This window comes from Homo sapiens, chromosome 1 (assembly GCF_000001405.40).
Source record: "Homo sapiens chromosome 1, GRCh38.p14 Primary Assembly".
Taxonomy (NCBI): domain Eukaryota; kingdom Metazoa; phylum Chordata; class Mammalia; order Primates; family Hominidae; genus Homo; species Homo sapiens.
In genome coordinates, this window is record NC_000001.11 from 161,125,947 (window position 1) to 161,145,084 (window position 19,138).

At 45.7% G+C, this 19,138-nt stretch overlaps 1 protein-coding gene, 1 long non-coding RNA gene and 1 other non-coding gene across 8 annotated transcripts in view, besides 5 other annotated features; 1 reads left to right on the plus strand and 2 right to left on the minus strand.

The window, feature by feature from the left end:
* The window catches only part of DEDD (death effector domain containing), an 11,694-nt gene extending 4,973 nt beyond the window's left edge, over positions 1-6,721 (minus strand). For 2 of the 6 annotated variants that reach the window (NM_032998.3, NM_001330765.2), the window contains exons 1-2: positions 6,605-6,721; positions 4,869-4,901 (exon numbers count right to left, since the gene is read on the minus strand). The gene's annotated coding sequence lies outside the window, so the exon portion shown is untranslated. Of the gene's footprint in view, positions 1-4,868; positions 4,902-6,444; positions 6,501-6,604 lie in introns of those variants that run through there. The other 4 variants (NM_001039712.2, XM_005245599.4, NM_001039711.2 and 1 more) reach the window with 2 other exon arrangements.
* Positions 5,591-6,414: an enhancer, noted in NCBI's record as "H3K27ac hESC enhancer chr1:161101327-161102150 (GRCh37/hg19 assembly coordinates)". NCBI's record gives its function as "activates a minimal SCP1, AML or CMV promoter by ChIP-STARR-seq in primed H9 embryonic stem cells {active_cell/tissue: H9 hESC(primed)}" and the evidence as "EXISTENCE:reporter gene assay evidence [ECO:0000049][PMID:30033119]".
* Positions 5,591-6,455: a biological region, named in NCBI's record as "H3K27ac hESC enhancer GRCh37_chr1:161101327-161102150".
* Positions 6,236-6,455: a silencer, noted in NCBI's record as "silent region_1468". NCBI's record gives its function as "represses an Ori minimal core promoter by ATAC-STARR-seq in GM12878 lymphoblastoid cells {active_cell/tissue: GM12878}" and the evidence as "EXISTENCE:reporter gene assay evidence [ECO:0000049][PMID:35858748]".
* Positions 6,506-6,855: a silencer, noted in NCBI's record as "silent region_1469". NCBI's record gives its function as "represses an Ori minimal core promoter by ATAC-STARR-seq in GM12878 lymphoblastoid cells {active_cell/tissue: GM12878}" and the evidence as "EXISTENCE:reporter gene assay evidence [ECO:0000049][PMID:35858748]".
* Positions 6,876-7,185: an enhancer, noted in NCBI's record as "active region_1977". NCBI's record gives its function as "activates an Ori minimal core promoter by ATAC-STARR-seq in GM12878 lymphoblastoid cells {active_cell/tissue: GM12878}" and the evidence as "EXISTENCE:reporter gene assay evidence [ECO:0000049][PMID:35858748]".
* LOC112543491 (linc-UFC1) lies at positions 9,204-11,996 on the plus strand. Its single transcript, NR_156734.1, has one exon. It is a non-coding gene; the product is annotated as a linc-UFC1 (long non-coding RNA).
* A 3,265-nt stretch (positions 11,997-15,261) lies between these two features.
* On the minus strand, positions 15,262-15,390 carry LOC124900457 (small nucleolar RNA ACA64). The gene has a single exon (XR_007067443.1). It is a non-coding gene; the product is annotated as a small nucleolar RNA ACA64 (small nucleolar RNA).
* Between the last annotated feature and the right edge of the window lie 3,748 nt (positions 15,391-19,138).

The following is a 19,138-nucleotide window of genomic DNA, read 5'->3' on the forward strand; positions in this document are numbered from 1 at the left end:
TGACGCAGCCATTAATCAATTCCCAAATTCAACAACTTTGACTCAAGTCACTCATACTTACTGCTCCACCAGACAGTACCATCCTATACTGTGCACTCTCTGGTCACACTCTCCAATCACACAATCAATCCTAAATTCCTGTTAATGCTACTTCTAGATATTTCTTAAATCTATCCTACCTTTCCACCTCCACTGCCATGGTTCAGATTACAATAATCTCTCACCTGGACTACTGTAACTTTAAAAGTTCTCTGCAACACCAATCTTAACCTACCTAAATCCATCCACTGCCACATCTAGTTCAGTTAGCTGTCTGAAGTCCACAACTGACCAAGTCACTTTCCTGCTTCAGACCCATTGATTGCCCCATCGTTATCTATAAGAACACTCCAAACTCTTTTTTTTTTTTTTTTTTTTGAGACAGAGTCACTCTGTCGCCCAGGCTGCAGTGCAGTGGCGCGATCTTGGCTCACTGCAACCTCCGCCTCCCAGGTTCAAGCGATTCTCCTGCCTCAGCTTCCCGAGTAGCTGGGACTACAGGCACCCACCACCACGCCCAGCTACTTTTTGTATTTTTAGTAGAGACGGGGTTTCACCATATTGGCCAGACTGGTCTCGAACTCCTGACCTTGTGATCCGCCTGCCTCGGCCTCCGAAAGTGCTGAGATTACAGGTGTGAGCCACCACGCCTGGCCGAACACTCCAAATTCTTTACACACACATCAAGCCTTCTAAGATCAGGCCTACCTTCCCAACCTCATTTCCCATCACATCCGCTTTTTATTCTCTAACATTATCAGTTTGTTTATAGTTCACATACATCATGCAATTTCTCTATACCTTCTTCAGGCTCTTCTCTTTGCCTGAATGCCCCTCTCCCTTCTCTATTCCACACCCCCATCATCACTCTTTTTCAGATGGCTAACTCCTACTCATTCTTTAAGAGTCAGCTCAGATGCCATCTTCAAAATGCATTTTCTACACCCCCATGCAGAGATAAGTAGTCCTCTTCTGTGCGCTTATGGAACACTATGCATATCTCCTTTACACCATTTATCACCATGTACTAAAATTATTTGTGTATTTATTATCCCATTAGATCCTACTCAACTCATGGAGAGATATATTCATCTTTATATCCCTAGTGCCTAGTAATGGACAGAGCCTCAAATATAGTGGGAGCAACCCACTGTTGAACTGAACTTAATCTCCAAGAGATCACCTCAAGCAATTCCAATTAAGAAACAAATTCACAAAAGTCCAAGAGAGGACCCCATTAAAAACAGATACAGGTAATTCAGTTACCATGCATATATTCTAACTAGCCATAGCCTCCTCTGCAATGTCCAGAACTACCCACACCATACCACACCACTCTACCCTACTCAACAATTAAACAGGTTGCTCTGTCCATTTTATACAAAAAGGAACTGAGGCTAGACTAGGAAACAATAAAATAATAAGCTTCTTTGGAAAAACAAAGCTGATAGAGAAAGCTGAAGAGTAAGTAGGAACTGGTCCTTTCTTCCTCAGATGAAAAACTAAAATGAAAGCACAGAGAAACTCATTCCCTTAAGAAAAGGGGAGGTACACTCTGGGATCACTTAACCCTATACCATGGGTTCTGATATGTAGACAGGAAATGTAATCCATATATAGTTTTGAGAGCCCAGATGCCCCACCCAAAGCATGGGAAATAGCTATTCAACTATAGACTGGTATTCCTTGCCTCTTCCTCTCGATTCACCTGTTGCTGTTACTGGGTACAAATGAAGGTGCTAAAGGAAAATAAGTTATTGCTCATAGCAGGCAACATGAGAAAACTGAGCCTCCTCAGAGCCCCTGCAACTTCTCTTTGTTCCCTATCCCACCTGTTCCCTTGGGCCAGCTGTTGATTGTGAGGCTCTCAGATAAAGCAGATTGGGTAGGTTTCACATTAAACCAACCAGAAGAGCTGGTTGCTCCACAGTTCCCTAATTTAAAGTGTGCTTAAACCCCAGGAAATGAAGAAACACTGTCCCCACATACCCTCGCAATGGAAAATAAGGCAAAATACAGGAAAGCACTGTGGTCCTAATTATGTATCAATGGATGTAATTCTATAAGCTTCAATCCTTTGAAGTTAACTCCCTACATTTGAGAGGAAACAAACACACTAGCCACCTTTAAGTCCTAGATCCCAGGCTAGATCATCAATGTACTAGGAATTATAATAGCTTTTAGGTCAGTGGTTCTGAACCAGGGGCAAATTTGACCCCTGGGGAATATGTGGCAATGTCTGGAGACATTTCTGATTATTATGCCTGGTGGGGAAGGGGACTGCCATCAGCATGTAATGAGTAGAAGCCAGGGATATTTAGAAACATCCTATAGGACAGGTGCAGTGGCTCCCGTCTGTAATCCCTGCACTTTGAGAGGCCAAGGTGGGAGGAACACTTGAGCCCAGGAGTTTGAGATCAGCTTGGACAACATGGTGAAACCCCATCTCTATGCAAAATATAAAAATTAGCCTGGCGTGGTGGCATGCACCTGTGATCCCAGCTACTTGGGAGGCTAAGGTAGAAGAATCGCTTGAGCCTGGGAGGTCGAAGCTGCAGTGGGATGTGATAGCGCCACTGCAGTCCAGCCCAGGTGACAGAGTGAAACCCTGTCTCAAAAGAAAAAAGAAACATCCTGTAATGCACAGAACAGTCTGCCACAACAAAGAATCATGCAGCACAAAATGTCAATAATGCCAAGGATGAGAAACCCTATTCTAGGTGGAGCATGGTAAAGGGTCAAAAGAATGCATGTCACTTTCCACACTAGATCTAGAAAAAGCCATCTGGTCCCTCCATCCAAACCCATCAAACAACATTCCAGAAGAAAAGAAAAGCCTGTCGGACATACATGTTCATTTAACTCCCAAGTCCAACTGCACTAAGGTGTTTCATGCCACTCCAACCTTGGGTCCTCTGTCACCTGCTGTTGCCATTCAGCTGAGGAACAGGTGGTAGTTCTACATCCACTTCTGCCCCATCCCAGGAGGTCTACTTTGACCTAGTTCAATCTGGAGTTCTATGGGGATATTAGAAATGTAATCCTCTGCAAGACAGACACAAAGGATCCTGCTCGTAAGCCTCAGGGTCATCTTTAAAGTCTTGGAACTGGATGAGCAGCAAATTCTCCTTGTGAGGTCACTAATCAGACTTATATTGCTTATTCAATGAAGCAAACATAGAAATATGTAAGTTCCTCAAGGCCATGTGCTTGGGAGAAATATGAGGATACTGTCATGCAGGTTAAGAGGCAGCCCTCTCCACTTAATGCAACCCAGATAAGGGTTCCAAGAATCTATCTAACTTTAACATTAAAAGAATGTGATGAGGCCTCGCATGGTGGCTCACACTTGTAATCTCAACACTTTGGGAGACCAAGGCAGGAGGACTGCTTGAGCCCAGGAGTTCGAGACCAGCCTGAGCAACATGACACAACTCCATCTCTACAAACAATAAACAAAAATTAGCTGGGCATAGTGGGACATACCTGTGGTCCCAGCTACTCTGATCGCACCACTGCACTCCAGCCTGGGGTACAGAGTGAGACCTTGCCTCAAAAAAAAAAAAAAAAAAAGTGATGAAAGTTCAGCTGATTAGTAAAATTAGAAAAGAAAACATGACCAATTTCCTCTAAAACCAAAATATACTCGTATTTCTGTGACAGTGAAGCAAGGGAGCTCAACTTAAAACATACAGAGATTCTAGATGACAGGTATCAGAATGGTGAGGAGAATGTAACCCTCTGAACAGAAAATTAGAACTAACTCAAGTCTTGGTATCTGAAACACTGCCAAATACCAAGAGACGAAACTCCAGCACACAGAAAGTCCTGATCCCACTGACTGGTCTGGCTGTATTTGAGATAGTAACACATGAATTCTCCCCTACAGTTTCCCAAGAATAATTGATTCTGAGGAATTGTTGTATTTCCTGGAGTTTTGCTTTTTTCTTTAGAGAAGTCCAAGTCAGCCAAGGGCCAACAGTCTATAGGTATCTTCAGGATTTCCTCCTGATTGGTCCTTCTCTACTATGTTTCTACTTCCAAGCAAAGTCTGGTCTCATCCCAACCAGGAATATCTGTAGTTTTTGAGGTACTTGGCTCTCTCAGAAGCCCTTAGGGGAAAGCGACATGAAAGAAATAAAAAAGAGTGCTGTCTTGAAATGAAAATGACAGTCATCTTTTCTGAACAGGGATGATATTTGTAATTTCATAGAATTAAGAGATATCTGACTCTCTCAGAAGTCCTCAGAGGAAAAGTCATGCAGAAGAACTACAAAAAAAAGTGGTATCTTGAAACTTAAATTAAAACTACATAGAAAATCTTAAAGATGGTTAAGAGTACATTCTTGCTGGTGGGATAGGAAATGTAATCAAATATCTGGAAGTCAGAATTACATAGTATGTTTTCAAAAGAAGGATGCCAGGAACCCCCCAACAGCTGAAAGAGAAAGTTAGAGGAAAAGTTTCCCACGGAAGGAAGGTGTCCCAGCAACCCTCCAAGGGCAACATTTAGTAGACAATGTACTAGAATACAGCCTTCCATATGTTAAAAAAAAAAAATGTTTCAGAGCTGACCAAGAAGACTAGACAATAACAAACCAAAGCTGGGGGATTGTCCCAAGACATCTAAATCTCCTTCTCTTTCACCTCCTATCTCCAATTAACTAAAGACAGTGATTACAACAGATCTCATGCACTCAGATGGATGAATGATAACTCATTTTCCCTGGCATTCTCCTCCTCATTAATGGACCCAACCTCAAAATAACTCCCATGCTATTTCCATTCCCTTCCATTGTTTGAAAACAATAAAAAAGTTCCAGACTTACCTCCGCAAGAAACTTAATTTCCCAGGTCTCTTCCTAGCACAAGTTTCACAGCCAGCAGCAAAACAAAAACAAATAAGGAGGGGAAAATAATTAATTTTCAAGTTTTACTTTGAAACCTCAGAGGCCCATAGAATTAGACAATCTCGTTGCAAAAGTACACAGACAAGCCTAAAACCATTTAGAGAACTCACCCCCAACAAGTCTCCAGGCTTCCCTAACTCTCTATTAGTCAATTTACAAAAACAATACCAACTCCAAGAATTTCCAGTCTCAATGGCTTGCGGCAAGACAGCTCCCAAATTTAAGAACTTCTGGGAAAACCAATTACCCTCTGGCAGCTTCTCATCTTCCTCCACAATTCCTTATTCCTATTTTGTTACAATATTAACGTTAACTTTCACCTTTAGAAAAAACTGGGAGGAAAGTGGTTACAGCAGACCAGCACTATCCTCCAAATTCTACATTTGGCCCTTTCCCTTAACTAGCACACAATGAGAACAAAATATCTAATGGCGCAGCATCCACTCATACGTCTATGTTTCACCAGGGAAAAGTTTTTCTACATACAGTATCCATGTTACCCCCTCCCTTCCAGACTTAAAACAGCAAAAGGGTCTGGAAACTACAGCACTCATTTAATTAACCTGTCTAGATGCCACTCTATCTTTTCTCTTTCCCTCCTCAGACTTCCAGAGCCTCCACCTTAGCATATAGGGTTCCAATATAGCCATGTCTGCTCCCCCACTCTTGTATTGCTAATGCTAAAAACTAGAAAAGTCCTTTGCTCCTCCACACTTGGGCGACACCGGCTTCCCCATTTTCCCAAGCAGGAAAAACAAGGGAACAGTAAGCTAGGGAGTCTTTTGGAAAACAAACCCAGTTGAATTCTCATCCAACCCCAATTCTGCAAACCCACATGACCATTCCCTTCTGCCCTTCCCACCCTCTTAAAAGCTAAGGGCCTGGCAATTAGAATTGGCTGCAACTGATGCTGCTTAACTCTGTTCTCTCCTCCTCTCCACCGGGGAAAGGGAAACCCCCGAACCTCTATCACCCGTGCAGCTCCACTGTCCTATCTCCCATTCCACTCCCCTTCCTCCCAAACTTTCTTCCTCCCAGTCTCTCACTTTCTCCATTACCTCCTCCCACCGACACTCTCTCCATTCCCCAAGCCTCCGTTCTCTCCTTTTCCACCCAAATTCTCCCCTAGGCCCTTCCCCCTCCCACCTCCAATTTAACACTTTCGAAGCCCCCCAGAAACGTCTTAACTCCAATTCTGACCTTTACCCACCTCCTCGCAACACCCCTCATCAGAGTCCAGTCCTCCCTCCAACCACATGCCACAGCCCCCTTCCCCTTCACACCCTCAGCCTCTCCCTCCTGCTCCTACCCCCTTCAATACGAGCGGATCGCAGCCCCACTCCCCACCTCGGCCTCTCTAATACCCCTGGCTGGGCCCAGTCTCAGCCCTTGTTTACGCCCCTCCCCATGCCCTCACTCCTCCGTCTCGACCCCTGCCCTCTCCCGCAGTTGCCATCTCCCCTGCACGCCCCCCTCGGCAGCTCCCCTCCCCCACCTCTCAGCGTCCCGTCACCTCCCTCTCTTGAGGTTCTCAGGCTGGACGTCGCCACCGCCTCCCCCTCCACTTTCCTTCCCCAAGCCCTTTGCGGCCCCGCCCGGCCCCGCCCCGTCCCGCTCGACTCCCTCTCCCCACTCCGGCCGCCCCTCCGCCTCACTCTCGGCTCAGGCTCGGCGCCGCCATGTTGGATCCATCCGCGCCGCTCTCCCGGGCCTGCCTCACGGCGCCGCATCCGGGCTCCAGCAGCCGCCGCCGCCGCCGCCGCCGCGGCCGTGGGGGAGGGGACAGGCGGGCGGGGGTGGCTGCATCCTGAACGGCGCCTCCCGGAACCCGGCCGGTTAGTGGCGGCTTCGAGGCCATAGTGAGACATGAGCCGGAGTAGCCATAGTAAGTGAGGGCAGCCTGGCAGCGGCATTAATCGGGGAGTGGATAGCTTCACTTCGGGAGGAGAGATAGAGATTGGCAGCCATCTTGCTTTGGGGCAAGCTGGCAACGCCGGTTTGTCTTGACGGCTGCTTAGGGCGGTAATAAGGGATCGAAGAGGATAGCATTCTTGAATGGGAAACATTGGTGGCGCCACAGCTGGCTGGTGGCGACTTCAAGACCCACTGGAAGGCTGGGATTGGCAGCCATGACTCATAAGGGCGGAATACCACGGGGATCGGTTTGTCTGGCGAACTTGAGTGAAGGGTCAAGATCTGGATTTCACCTTTCCTCTGAGCTTCCTGATAACCCGGACGTTCCGTAAACCCGGATCCGGAGCCGAAAGTGGTGCCCAGATCCCGTCTCGGAATTCATTTGTTCAGCATTTACCTTTTGAACGCCGGTTTCCTGTAGGAAGTGTCGCCTAGCTGATCCGTGTAGGGCTGTTGGGAATTGGGGGTGGGGAGGATGGTGCGGGTACGTTCTGGTGTGGCTTAAGAAAGTGGTAATAGATAGGGGAAGACCAGATTATGCGAAGCCTTGTAAATTAATTGATTTTTATCCTTAAGGCAATGAAAAGTCTTTGAAGAATCTCAGCAGAGGTGTGAACAATTTCATTTGCATTTTAGATCGCTGCGTGCAGTGTGAAGGATGAATGAATTGAGGAGAATCAAGGAGAGCAGTTGTGAGGCTCTTTTCCAGGCAAGGATGATGATGGTCTGCCTGTGGAAGGGAGAGTGCGGATGGGGAGATACAGATTGGTTTAAGAGGTACGAATGTTGTGACTTGGACAACTGGGGAATAATGATACCAGTTTCTTTCTCGTTTAGGGGGGAGATAATGAGTTTTAGGTGCCCCTGGGATATTAGCTAATGTGGGTTGGGAACTCAAAAGAAAGGTTTGAGGTGTGTGTGCGTGTGCATATAGATAGCTGTTGAAGCCATGAAGTGGGCTGGAGAGGATACCTGCATTTGCGGGATAGGATGAGGGAAGCCGAAAAGAACACTGAGAAGGGGCAAACCGAAAGGAAAGAAGAAAACCATAGAGAACTATCAAGGAAACTGGTGAAAGCGTTTAGTGTAACAGAGATATAGTAAAATGCTAACTAAAATATATACATCAGGGCCGGGCATGGTGACTCACACCTGTAATCCTAGCTTTGGGAGGCCGAGGCGGGTGGATCACTTGAGGCCAGGAGTTCGAGACCAGCCTGACCAACATGGTGAAACCCTGTCTCTTCTAAAAATACAAAAAAAATTAGATGGGTGTGGTTGCACATGCCGGTAATCCCAGCTACTTGGGAGGCTGAAGCATGAGAATTGCTTGAACCCAGGAGGCAGAGGTTGCAGTGAGCCGAGATCGCGCCACTGCATTTCAGCCTGGGCACCAGAGCAAGACCCTGTCTCAAAAAAAATGAAATAAATAGGCCGGGTGCTGTGGCTCACTCCTGTAATCCCAGCACTTTGGGAGGCCATGGCGGGCAGATCACCTGATGTCAGGAGCTGGAGACCAGCCTGGTCAACATGGTGAAACCCCGTCTCTACTAAAAATACAAAAATCAGCCAGGCATGGCAGTGCGCGCCTGTAGTCCCAGCTACTGGGGAGGCTGAGGCACAAGAATCGCTTGAACCCAGGAGGCAGAGGTTGCAGTGAGCTGAGGTCGTGCCACTGCACTCCAGCCTGGGTGACAGAGTGAGACTCTGTCTCCAAAAAAATAAAATAAAGTAAATAAAATGTATCTATCAGATATTGCAACAAGGGCCAGGCACAGTGGCTCACACCTGTAATCCCAGCACTTTGGGAAGCCTAGGCAGGTGAATCACTTAAGACCAGGAGCTGGAGACCAGTGTGGTCAACATGGCAAGACCCCATCTTTACAAAAAATACAAAAATTAGCTGGGCATGGTGGTGCGCACCTGTGATCGCAGGTACTCCAGAGGCTGAAACATGATAATCACTTGAACCCAGGAGGCGGAGGTTGCAGTGAGTCAAGATTGCACCACTGCACTCTCGGCAACAGAACAAGACTTTGGTTTTTTTGTAAATAAAACAAATAAATAAAAAGGCCAGGTGTGGTAGCTCACACCTGTAATCCCAGCACTTTGGGGACCGAGGTGGGCCGATCACCTGAGGTCAGGAGTTCGAGACCAGCCTGGACAACATGGTGGAACTCCCATCTCTACTAAAAATACACAAATTAGCCAGACATGGTGTCGGGCACCTGTAATCCCAGCTACTTGGGAGGCTGAGGTGGGAGAATCGCTTGAACCCAGGAGGCGGAGGTACAGTGAGCCGAAATTGCACAATTGCACTCCAGTGAGACTCTGTCCCCCCAAAAAAGATACTGCAACAAGGAGGTCATTTAGGAAATTTGGAGAAAGCTGTTTTGTAGTTATGGTGGATAGAAACCAGATTGAATTGAGAAGGCACAACGTATAAAGACAGTTTTTTCATGGTGTTGATGTAAAAAGGAGACTAGTGGTAGGGTGTTGCAGGAGGGAGAATTCCAAAGAAGGTGAAGAAGTTTTAGGTACCTGTGAGATAGCTAGATAGATATGTCCTAGTGGCATGTTTAATACACAGATCTAAAACTTAAGAGAAAAATATAAGTGGAGAAAAAAAGCAAGCACAGAATAAATATGACACATTTACACATGCATTAAAAAATTATGAAGAGTGGGCCTAGGAGGGATAAGACTTATACTTTTCATTTTACATCTATCTTTATTGCTTGAAATTATTTTATTATGCACATATTATTTTACAGAAAGCTACTTTTTTTTTTTCTTTTTTGAGACAGTCTCGCTCTGTCACCCAGGCTGGAGTGCAGTGGCACATCTCAGCTCATTGCAACCTCTGATTCCCAGGTTCAAGCAATTCTCCTGCCTCAGCCTCTTGAGTAGCTGGGACTACAGGTGCACGCCACCATGCCTGGCTAATTTTTTGTATTTTTAGTAGAGACGGGGTTTCGTTATGTTGGCCAGGCTGGTCTCAAACTCTTGACCTCGTGATCCACTCTCCTCGGCCTCCTAAAGTGCTGGGATTACAGGCGTGAGCCATGGTACCTGGCCAGAAAACTACTTTTTAGAAAGCCCTGTGATATATAGGCCAGAAATTCTGAAACATCAACATTTCGGTGGTAGTTGAAGCCATAGATTTGGATAAGCTCCCCAGAAAAGAGCAGAGGGCTAAGAAGAGTGCTCTCGGAAATTCCAACATTTAAGGCACAAGTAGAAAAAGAGCTCTTGGAGAATCTTTGAAAAGGAACAGCGAGTGAAGAAGAAGAAAACCTGGGAGATAATTGTCACAGAATCAAAGGGAAGAGTATTTCAAGGGGGTGGATGTTGAAAGTGTCAGATGTCCCCACAGAGGCAGCTGATAGGAAAGGTGCTCTTACCTCTGAACCTAGGTTTCTTGGAAGCTTGGCACAAGAGTCAAATCCAGATCTTGAACCTTTCCCCAAGTATCACTGGGCAGTACAACCCCCAGGCTATTCTGCCCTTATGCATCATGGCTGCCAGTCCCAGTCTTTCAGTGAGTCTTCAAGTCAACACCAGCCAGTGCTGGCACCATCAATCTTACTACACTTAATAATGATACCCTGGCTGGGTGTGGTGGCTCACACCTGTAATCCCAATACTTTGGCCAGGAGTTCAAGATCAGCCTGGGCAACATAGTGAGAGACCCCATTTCTACAAAATTTTTTTTTAATTAGGTGGGTGTGCACTTGCCTGTAGTCCCAGCTATTTGGGAGGCTGAGGTGGGAGGATCACCTGAGACTGAGGAGTTTGAGGTTGCAGTGAGTCCTGATGGCACCATTGCACTCCAACCTGAGTGACATAGCGAGACCCTGTTTCAAAAAAAAAGAAGAAGAATGCTACCCTCTCCCAGTCCTTACTATGGCCCTGAAGCTGCCATCAACAAAAACCTGTTTTTCTAGAAATGGTGAAATTAAGGAATTGAAAGTGGGAGTATTCGTTGGAGTTGGAGGTCAGGAACTAACTGTATTTTTCATGGGTTTTTGTAAAACCTCCCAGGATGATAGTAAGAGTTGGCACAAAAAGAGGTTAATAGGTGCTGAAGGCTGGGTTTGGAGGATCACTTGAGCCCAGGAGTTTGAGGCTGCAGTGAGCTATGATTATTGCCACTGCACTACAAAAAGAAAAAGAAAAAAAAAAGGTGTTAAAGGGCAGTAAAGCCAGATGGCATAAGCTTCAAAGGGAGAAGAATTTTTGCAAGAGGATGGAAGCACAGTGGTCTAAAAGTAGCAGTGGGTAGCAAAGAGAAAGCTGATACCTTGCCACGCCTTCCTACAGGAGCAAGAATAAACAGCCTGTAGAAGGTTGAAGGGAAAAGGTGTTCATTAATTGGGGAAAGTAAAAAATTTCTACCTCACCTCTGACCATTTTTTCCTCTATACCCACTGGAACACTTTTCTTTTGTAAACAATCTCCCTTATGTATTCATTGTCTTCGTAGATTGCTCCTTAGCTTTTCCTAGAGGAATAGCCATCAGGACAGAGGTAGCTGTGATGTGTGGAATGCAGATGTAATCCACATAAGCCCGCAAAAAAGACAGACACAGGCACTACTTCTTAAAGGAGAATAATATTCTCCCTCCGTATCCATATTCTGAAGTGGTTTGACACTCAGTAGTCTTGGCACCATGATGGTAATTCCTTTCCATGAACCCACCTCTCCTCTCCAAACCTAACCCAATTCCATTCAGAGGATTAGAGAAAGCTGAGGATTGCCTTTTCTAGTCATAGTATGATGTCCAGTCTGCTTATTGCAACCAATGGGGAAGAGAACAGATCACTTTCTTCACTGAGAATGGAAAGCTTAGCCAGGCACGGTGGCTCATGCCTGTAATCCCAGCACTTTGGGAGGCTGAGGCAGGAGGATCACTTGAGGTCAGGAGTTCGAGACCAGCCTGGCCAACATGTTGAAACGCCATCTCTACTAAAAAATAAACAAATTAGCTGGGTGTGGTGGCATGCACTTGTAATCCCAGCTACTCGGGAGTCTGAGGCAGGAGAATTGCTTGAACCTGAGAGGTGGAAGTTGCAGTAAGCCAAGATCACGCCACTGTACTCCAGCCTGGGCAACAGAATTGAACTCTGTCTCAAAAAAAAAGAATGGAAAGGTGAAGGAAGGGCTGAGATTTGCCTTCATTAGGCCTTCCAAAGTAATCTGTCTTCCCCTGCAGGACTCACAGAACTCAGTTCTTTTCCCTGGGGCCAGACTTCAATGACCAAATTTTCCAAATTCCAAACATTGGGACAGTTGCCTGGCCAGCTGTTCCTAAACTAGTCAGTTTATTTGGAGGGATATTTTCTGCTTGGGGAGCCCTGGAAGTTCACTCTTTCAACATGAAGTCCTAAGATCGTAACGCCAACAAAGAGAGCTGTGCAGATTTCCTGAGCTAAGCCAAAGGGACCTCCTGTGTAGAGATGGGCACCCTCATGTCCATCACTGAGAAAAAAATATTTCAAACAGTTTAGAGTTTTTTGTTAGCTATAGCTAGACTGCTGTTCCTCCTTAGCTTAAACTATACATCATCTGTACAGTTAAAACAAAAACTTCATCTCTTGCCTTATGAACCACCCTCTCCTTAATTCAACTAAAAACTTGGGGGAACTTCCTCTGAGAAGATTGAGAACCCTGTGTAGAATTCTCTTGCGGAAGTCCTCTGCTTGTTATGTTTCTTCCTTTACATTAGTTCCTGTCTCTTCCTCAGCTGAGAAAACATCCCTCCAGCTTTCAAAGACTGGCCCCTTCAGCTCTATCCTGATGCCCATCCTTTTCTACTTATCAAAACACTACTCCCACAGTTACCTCTTCCTTCACTGGAATCTGTAACCTGGAACCCTTCAGCTATCCACAGGCTCACATTTCCACTGTGTCCTTAACTGTAGTTTTCAACTCCCTGTAATTCTCAGTAATTAGAAAGGCCTTTTTACTATCCTTAGATAAATCTCTTTGTAACTTCCATGTATTGGTTCTGTTTTTTCTCTCTGGGTCAACACATCATAGCCACATGTCCCTACTAAATATTTTTTTACAAGTCAGTGGTAGTACCAGTTTAGAGTAAAGCAGATCTGTTCTCTTTCTTGATCTGAATACTCTATTAAGGCTGCTTGTCCTAGTCCATGTTCCTTCCCAGGTCTGCCAGATTAATCTTTTCAAACCAGATATTCCCTTAAGAAGTCTCTATCTTGCTAGCACTAGCCCCTTGTCACAAGTATCCTCTTGACTCTTCCAGGGCCACTCGGATCCCTGTGTCCCTACCAGGGCTTTACTCTTCTGCTTTACTCTGCAGGGACTTGCTGACCTGATGATCTGCTCTATTCTTGGTTTCCTATTAACTCTAAGCTGCCCCAGTTACTCATTTTCATCCAGGCATTATACTACTGGCTCCTCCTAATTTCAGTTCAGCTTGGAACCTAGCTCTAAGTCCAGAACTAGAATTTATTGCAGTTCTGGCTTCTATGGCTCCCGAATAAAAGAGTAGGGACCTCGGCCACACATGGTGGCTCATACCTGCAGTCCCAGGACTTTGAGAGGCTGAGGCGGGTGGATTGCTTGAGTCCAGGAGTTCAAGACCAGCCTGGGTAACATGGCCAAACCCTGTCTCTACAGAAAAAAATACAAAAATTAGGCATGGTGGCATGTGCTTATAGTTCCAGCTACTCAGAAGGCTGAGGTGGAAGGATCACTTGAGCCTGGAAAGCCGAGGTTGCAGTGAGCCAAGATCGCACCACTGCACTCCAACCTGGGTGACAGAGCCAGACCCTGCTGCCTCAAAAAAAAAAAAGAAAAAGAAAAAAGGAGTAGGGACCACAATCAGTTGCTGAATCCTAGTGATCTGCTGTTCAAGTCGCCTCAACCTGTTCCCTTTTCTTCATTCCCCAGCTCTGACCCTCACTAATATGACAGGCAAGTTCCTTAACTTCTCTAAACTTGTTTTCTTATCTGTGAAAGAAATATAACATCCACCTTACAGATCATTGTTTTAATGATTATATTAAATGATGTATAGAAAGTGTTGCACAGGGCCTAGTGCTGGATAAATGTTACCTAATATTTATTATTGTATTATATATAACAAGTTTCACCAGGTTTCAGAAATTCAGCAGGCTCTTTATCAATGACTCTTTGCTGCCCCCATGGGGATGACTTTTTCCAAGTCATTGGTTATTCCAAAGACCGTAACATAAAACAACCCTGTCTCACCAATCCCACCAGTTAATTAGAGAATTAACCAATTTTTCTTTGGGTGGTTGTTCAATTAAGTAAAAATGCTCTTATATTCCAGACCATTCTTTTTCAAATAACATAACAGGCTGGGCGTGGTGGTTCATGCCTATAATTGCAGCACTTTGGGAGGCCAAGGCAGGTGGATCTCTTGAGGTCAGGAGTTCGAGACCAGCCTGACCAACATGGTGAAACCCCGTCTCTACTAAAAATACAAAAATTAGCCGGGTGTGGTGGCCCGTGCCTGTAATCCTAGCTACTCAGGAGGCTGAGGCAGGAGAATCATTTGAACCCGGGAGGCAGAGGTTGCAGTGAGCTGAGATTGTGCCACCGCACTACAGCCTGGGTGATAGAGCGAGACTCCGTCTCAAAAAAAAATTTTTTTTTAAATAAATAAATAACAATAGGCCGGGCGCAGTGGCTAACGCCTGTAACCCCAGCACTTTGGGAGGCCGAGGCGGGCAGATCACGAGGTCAGGTGATCGAGACCATCCTGGCTAACAAGGTGAAACCCCATCTCTACTAAAAACACAAAAATTAGCGGGGCGTGGTGGCGGGCGCCTGTAGTCCCAGCTACTCAGGAGGCTGAGGCAGGAGAATGGCATGAACCCAGGAGGCAGAGCTTGCAGTGAGCCGAGATCGCACAACTGCACTCCAGCCTGGGCAACAGAGCAAGACTCTGTCTCAAAAATAAATAAATTAAATAAATAAATAAATAAACAATAATAAGGTTATCAAAAGGTTGAAAGTAAAATTATAGGAAAAGATAAGCTATGCAACATAAACCAAAAGAAGCTTATGTTAAAATCAGACACAGTTGACTTGAAGGCAAAAAGCATTACTAGAAATAAGGACATTTTATACCAATAAGTTTAATTCACCAGGAAGTTAAAAAATAAATTTATTTATTTATTTATTTATTTATTTATTTATTTATTTATTTTAGACAAACAGCTTTATTTGAAAGACGGGGGACAGCCAAGTCCCCCTGACCCTGCGGTCCTGGCAACGTCGGTCTCAGGCGTAGGAGGACCAGTGTCCTGCGGAGAGAAAAATAGGGTTAGGGGTCTGCAGCCGGGGTCAGGAGTCAGGGGTCAGACCACGCGAGCAGCCACACCCGGGGGGAGGCCGCGGCCCCTGTCGGGGCCTGGGTTTCACCGTCGCACATGGCGGCAGCACGCGGTGAGCTGAGGCCCCCGGAGGCTCTTGCGCGCCGAATTTCACCCGCGGCCACGGCCAAAACCGGGGGTGATTTTCAACCAACGCCGGAAAACATTTCTAAATTTGTATGCACTTAACAAAACCTCAAATAATATACAGCACCGAGCTACAAGGAAAAATAGACAAGTTCACAATCATCGTAGGAGATTTAGCACACCTCTCTCAATTAATAGAGTATACTTCTTTCAGAACTGATAGAAAAAGTCAGGGCCAGGTGCAGTAGCTGATGCCTGTAATCCCAGCACTTTGGGAGGCTGAGATGGGAGGATTGCATGAGGCCGGAGTTCAAGACCAGCCTGGGCAGCATAGGGAGACCCTCATTTCTACAAAAAAAAAAAAAATTAGGGGCGGGCGCGGTGGGTCACGCCTGTAATTCCCAACACTTTGGGAGGCCGGGGCGGGCCTGAGTTCAGGAATTCGAGACCAGCCTGGCCAACATGGCGAAACCCCGTCTCTACTAAAAGTACAAAAATTAGCTGGGTGTGGTGGCGGGCACCTGTAATCCCAGCTACTCAGGAGGCTGAGGCAGGAGAATAGCTTAAACCCGGGAGGCGGAGGTTGCAGTGAGCCAAGATCGCGCCACTGCTCTCTAGCATGGGTGACAAGAGCAAGACTCCGTCTCAAAAAAAAAAAAAAAATATGCTGAGCATGGTTGTGCATGCCTATAGTCCCAGCTACCCAGGAGGCTGAGGTGGGACGATTACATGACCCCAGGAGGTTGAGGCTGCAGTGAGCTATGATGGCACCACTGTACTTCAACCTGAGAGACAAAATGAGACCAACTCTTTCTCTAAAAAAAAAAAAAAAAAAAAAGAGAAAGAATAAGAAAAAATCAGCAAGGATATAGAAAATTTAAATAACACGAGCAGTAAATTTGATTCAACAAGCGTATAGAGTCCACTATACCCAACGACTTCAAATTACAAAGCACATGTTCAAGCACATTTGGAACATTTAAGAAACTGACCAGATTGTTCTATAAAGCAAGTTTCAACAAATTTCAAAGGCTTCAAATGATGCAAAGTATGTTTCTTGCCTACATTACAGTGAGGCTAGAATCAGTAACAAAAAGGTAACTGGGAAGTCCCTATGTTTACAAGTTAAATACAGCCGGGCACAATGACACATGCCTGCAGTCCCAGCTACTTGGAGGCCAGAGGATCCCTTGATTCCAGGAGTTTAAGGCTGTAGTGTGCTGAATACATTTTTAAATGACCCACAAAATAAATCACAATTGGAGTTAGAAAATATTTTGACCTGAGTGATAATTTAAAATGTCACAAAGCATTCCGGGCACCATGGCTCAAACCTTTAATCCCAGCACTTTGGGAGACTGAGGCAGGTGGATTGCTTGAGGTCAGGAGTTGGAGACTAGCCTGACCAAATGGTGAAACCCCATCTCTACTAAAAATACAAAAACTTAGCCGGGCGTGGTGGTGGGCACCTGTAGTCCCAGCTACTCAGGAGGCTGAGGCGAGATAGTCACTTGAACCTGGGAGGTGGAAGTTTCAGTGAGCCGAGATTGCGCCACTGCACTCCAGCCTGGGTGACAGAGCGAGATTCTGTCTTAAAAAAAAAGAAAGAAAGAAAGAAAAAAGGGCCGGGCGCGGTGGCTCACGCCTGTTAATCCCAGCACTTTGGGAGGCCAAGGTGGGCAGATCACAAGGTAAGGAGTTTGAGACCAGCCTGACCAACATGGTGAAACCCTGTCTCTACTAAAAATACAAAAATTAGCCGGGTATGGTGGCGTGTGCCTGTAATCCCAGCTGCTCGGGAGGCTGGGGCAGGAGAATCGCTTGAACCCAGGAGGCAGAGGTTGCAGTGAGCGAAGGTCATGCCACTGCACTCCAGCTTGGGCGACAGAGTGAGACTCTGTCTCAAAAAAAAAAAAGAAAAAAGAAAAAAAAGAAAAGAAAAAAATGTGCTTAGAGGAAAATACATAGTCTTAAGAGCACATAAGAAAAAAGAGCCTGGATGTGGTGGCTTACACTTGTAATCTCAGTGCTTTGGAAGGCCAAGGAAGAAGGATTGCCTGAGGCCAGGAGTTTGAGACCAGCCTGGGCCACATAGGGAGACCCCTGTCTCTTTTAAAATAAGTAAGTTAATAAATAAATAAAAATTTTAGGATGAAAGAAAAGCTGAGAATTTGTGAGTTCTGCATCCATCTCAAGAACCTAGAACAGTGAATTACACTGAAAGGATTTAGAAGATTGGAAATGTGTACATAGAGATGTCTGGAAGAATATATACCTAAAATGATAGTGGCTTTTTAAAATCTCTTGGGGTGGTATTTTTGGGTTAATTTTATTTTTCTCTATTGTTCAAATAAGCTAAAACAAATAATAAAGCCATTGTAATTTTTGGGGGTAAAAACACTAATGGAAATTTTTTTTTTTCTAGACTGAGTCTCGCTCTGTCACCCACGCTGGAGTACAGTGGCACAATCTCAGCTCACTGCAACCTCTGCCTCCCAGATTCAAACGATTCTCCTGCCTCAGCCTCCCGAGTAGCCGGGACTACTGGCACCTGCCACCACACCCGGCTAATTTTTGTATTTTCAGTAGAGACGGGGTTTTACCATGTTGGCCAGGCTGGTCTCGAACTCCAGACTTCAAGTGATCTGTCTGCCTTGGCCTCCCAATGTGCTGGGATTACAGGCATAAGCCACCGCGCTGGGCCTGAGGAAAATTTTTAAAAAATAATCGAGACTGCTGTTATGGTGACACCACCACGAGAAGCTACAAGCAAAATACTGATAACCTCATATGTGAAAATTTTTCATATTGTTTAAAATATTATGAACAAAAGAAAAGACAAATAACAAACTGGGAAAAATATTTACAACTCATCACAAATGGCTAATCCTTTTAATGTTAATATTTAAAAAAAAATACAAATCAGGTCAGGCACAGTGGCTCATGCCTGTAATCCCAGTACTTTGGGAGGCTGAGGTGAGAGGATCACCTGAAGTCAGGAGTTCAAAACCAGCCTGGCCAACACGGAGAAACCTGTCTCCATTAAAAATACAAAAAGTAGCCGGACGTGGTGTGGGCACCTGTAATCCCAACTACTCGGGAGGCTGAGGCAGGAGAATCGCTTGAACCCGGGAGGTGGAGGTTGCAGTGAGCTGAGATTGCACCACTGCACTCCAGCCTGGGCGACAGAGCAAGAATCTGTCTAAAAAAAAAAAAAAAAAAAAAAAAAAAAAAAAAAAAAAAAAGGCTGGGTGCAGTGGCTCACACCTGTAATCCCAGCACTTTGGGAGGCCCAGGCAGGTGGATCACGAGGTCAGGAGATGGAGACCATCCTGGCCAACATAGTGAAACCCTGTCTCTACTGAAAATACAAAAATTAGCTAGGCGTGGTGGCAGGCGCCTGTAGTCCCAGCTACTCAGGAGGCTGAGGCAGGAGAATCGCTTGAACCTGGGAGGCGGAGGTTGCAGTGAGCTGAGATTGTGCCACTGTACTCCAGCCTGGGCAACAGAGCGAGACTCCATCTCAAAAAAAAGAAAAAGAAAAAAAAGACGGGGCATGGTGGCTCATGCCTGTAGCACTCCCAAATCCCAGCACTTTGGAGGCCAAGGCGGGTGGATCACCTGAGGTCGGGAGTTCGAGACCAGCCTGACCAACATGGAGAAACCCTGTCACTGCTAAAAATACAAAATTAACTGGGCGTGGTGGTGCATGCCTGTAATCCCAGCTACTCAGTAGGCTGAGGCAGGAGAATCGCTTGAACCCAGGAGGCAGAGGTTGCGGTGAGCTGAGATCGCGCCATTGCACTCCAGCCTGGG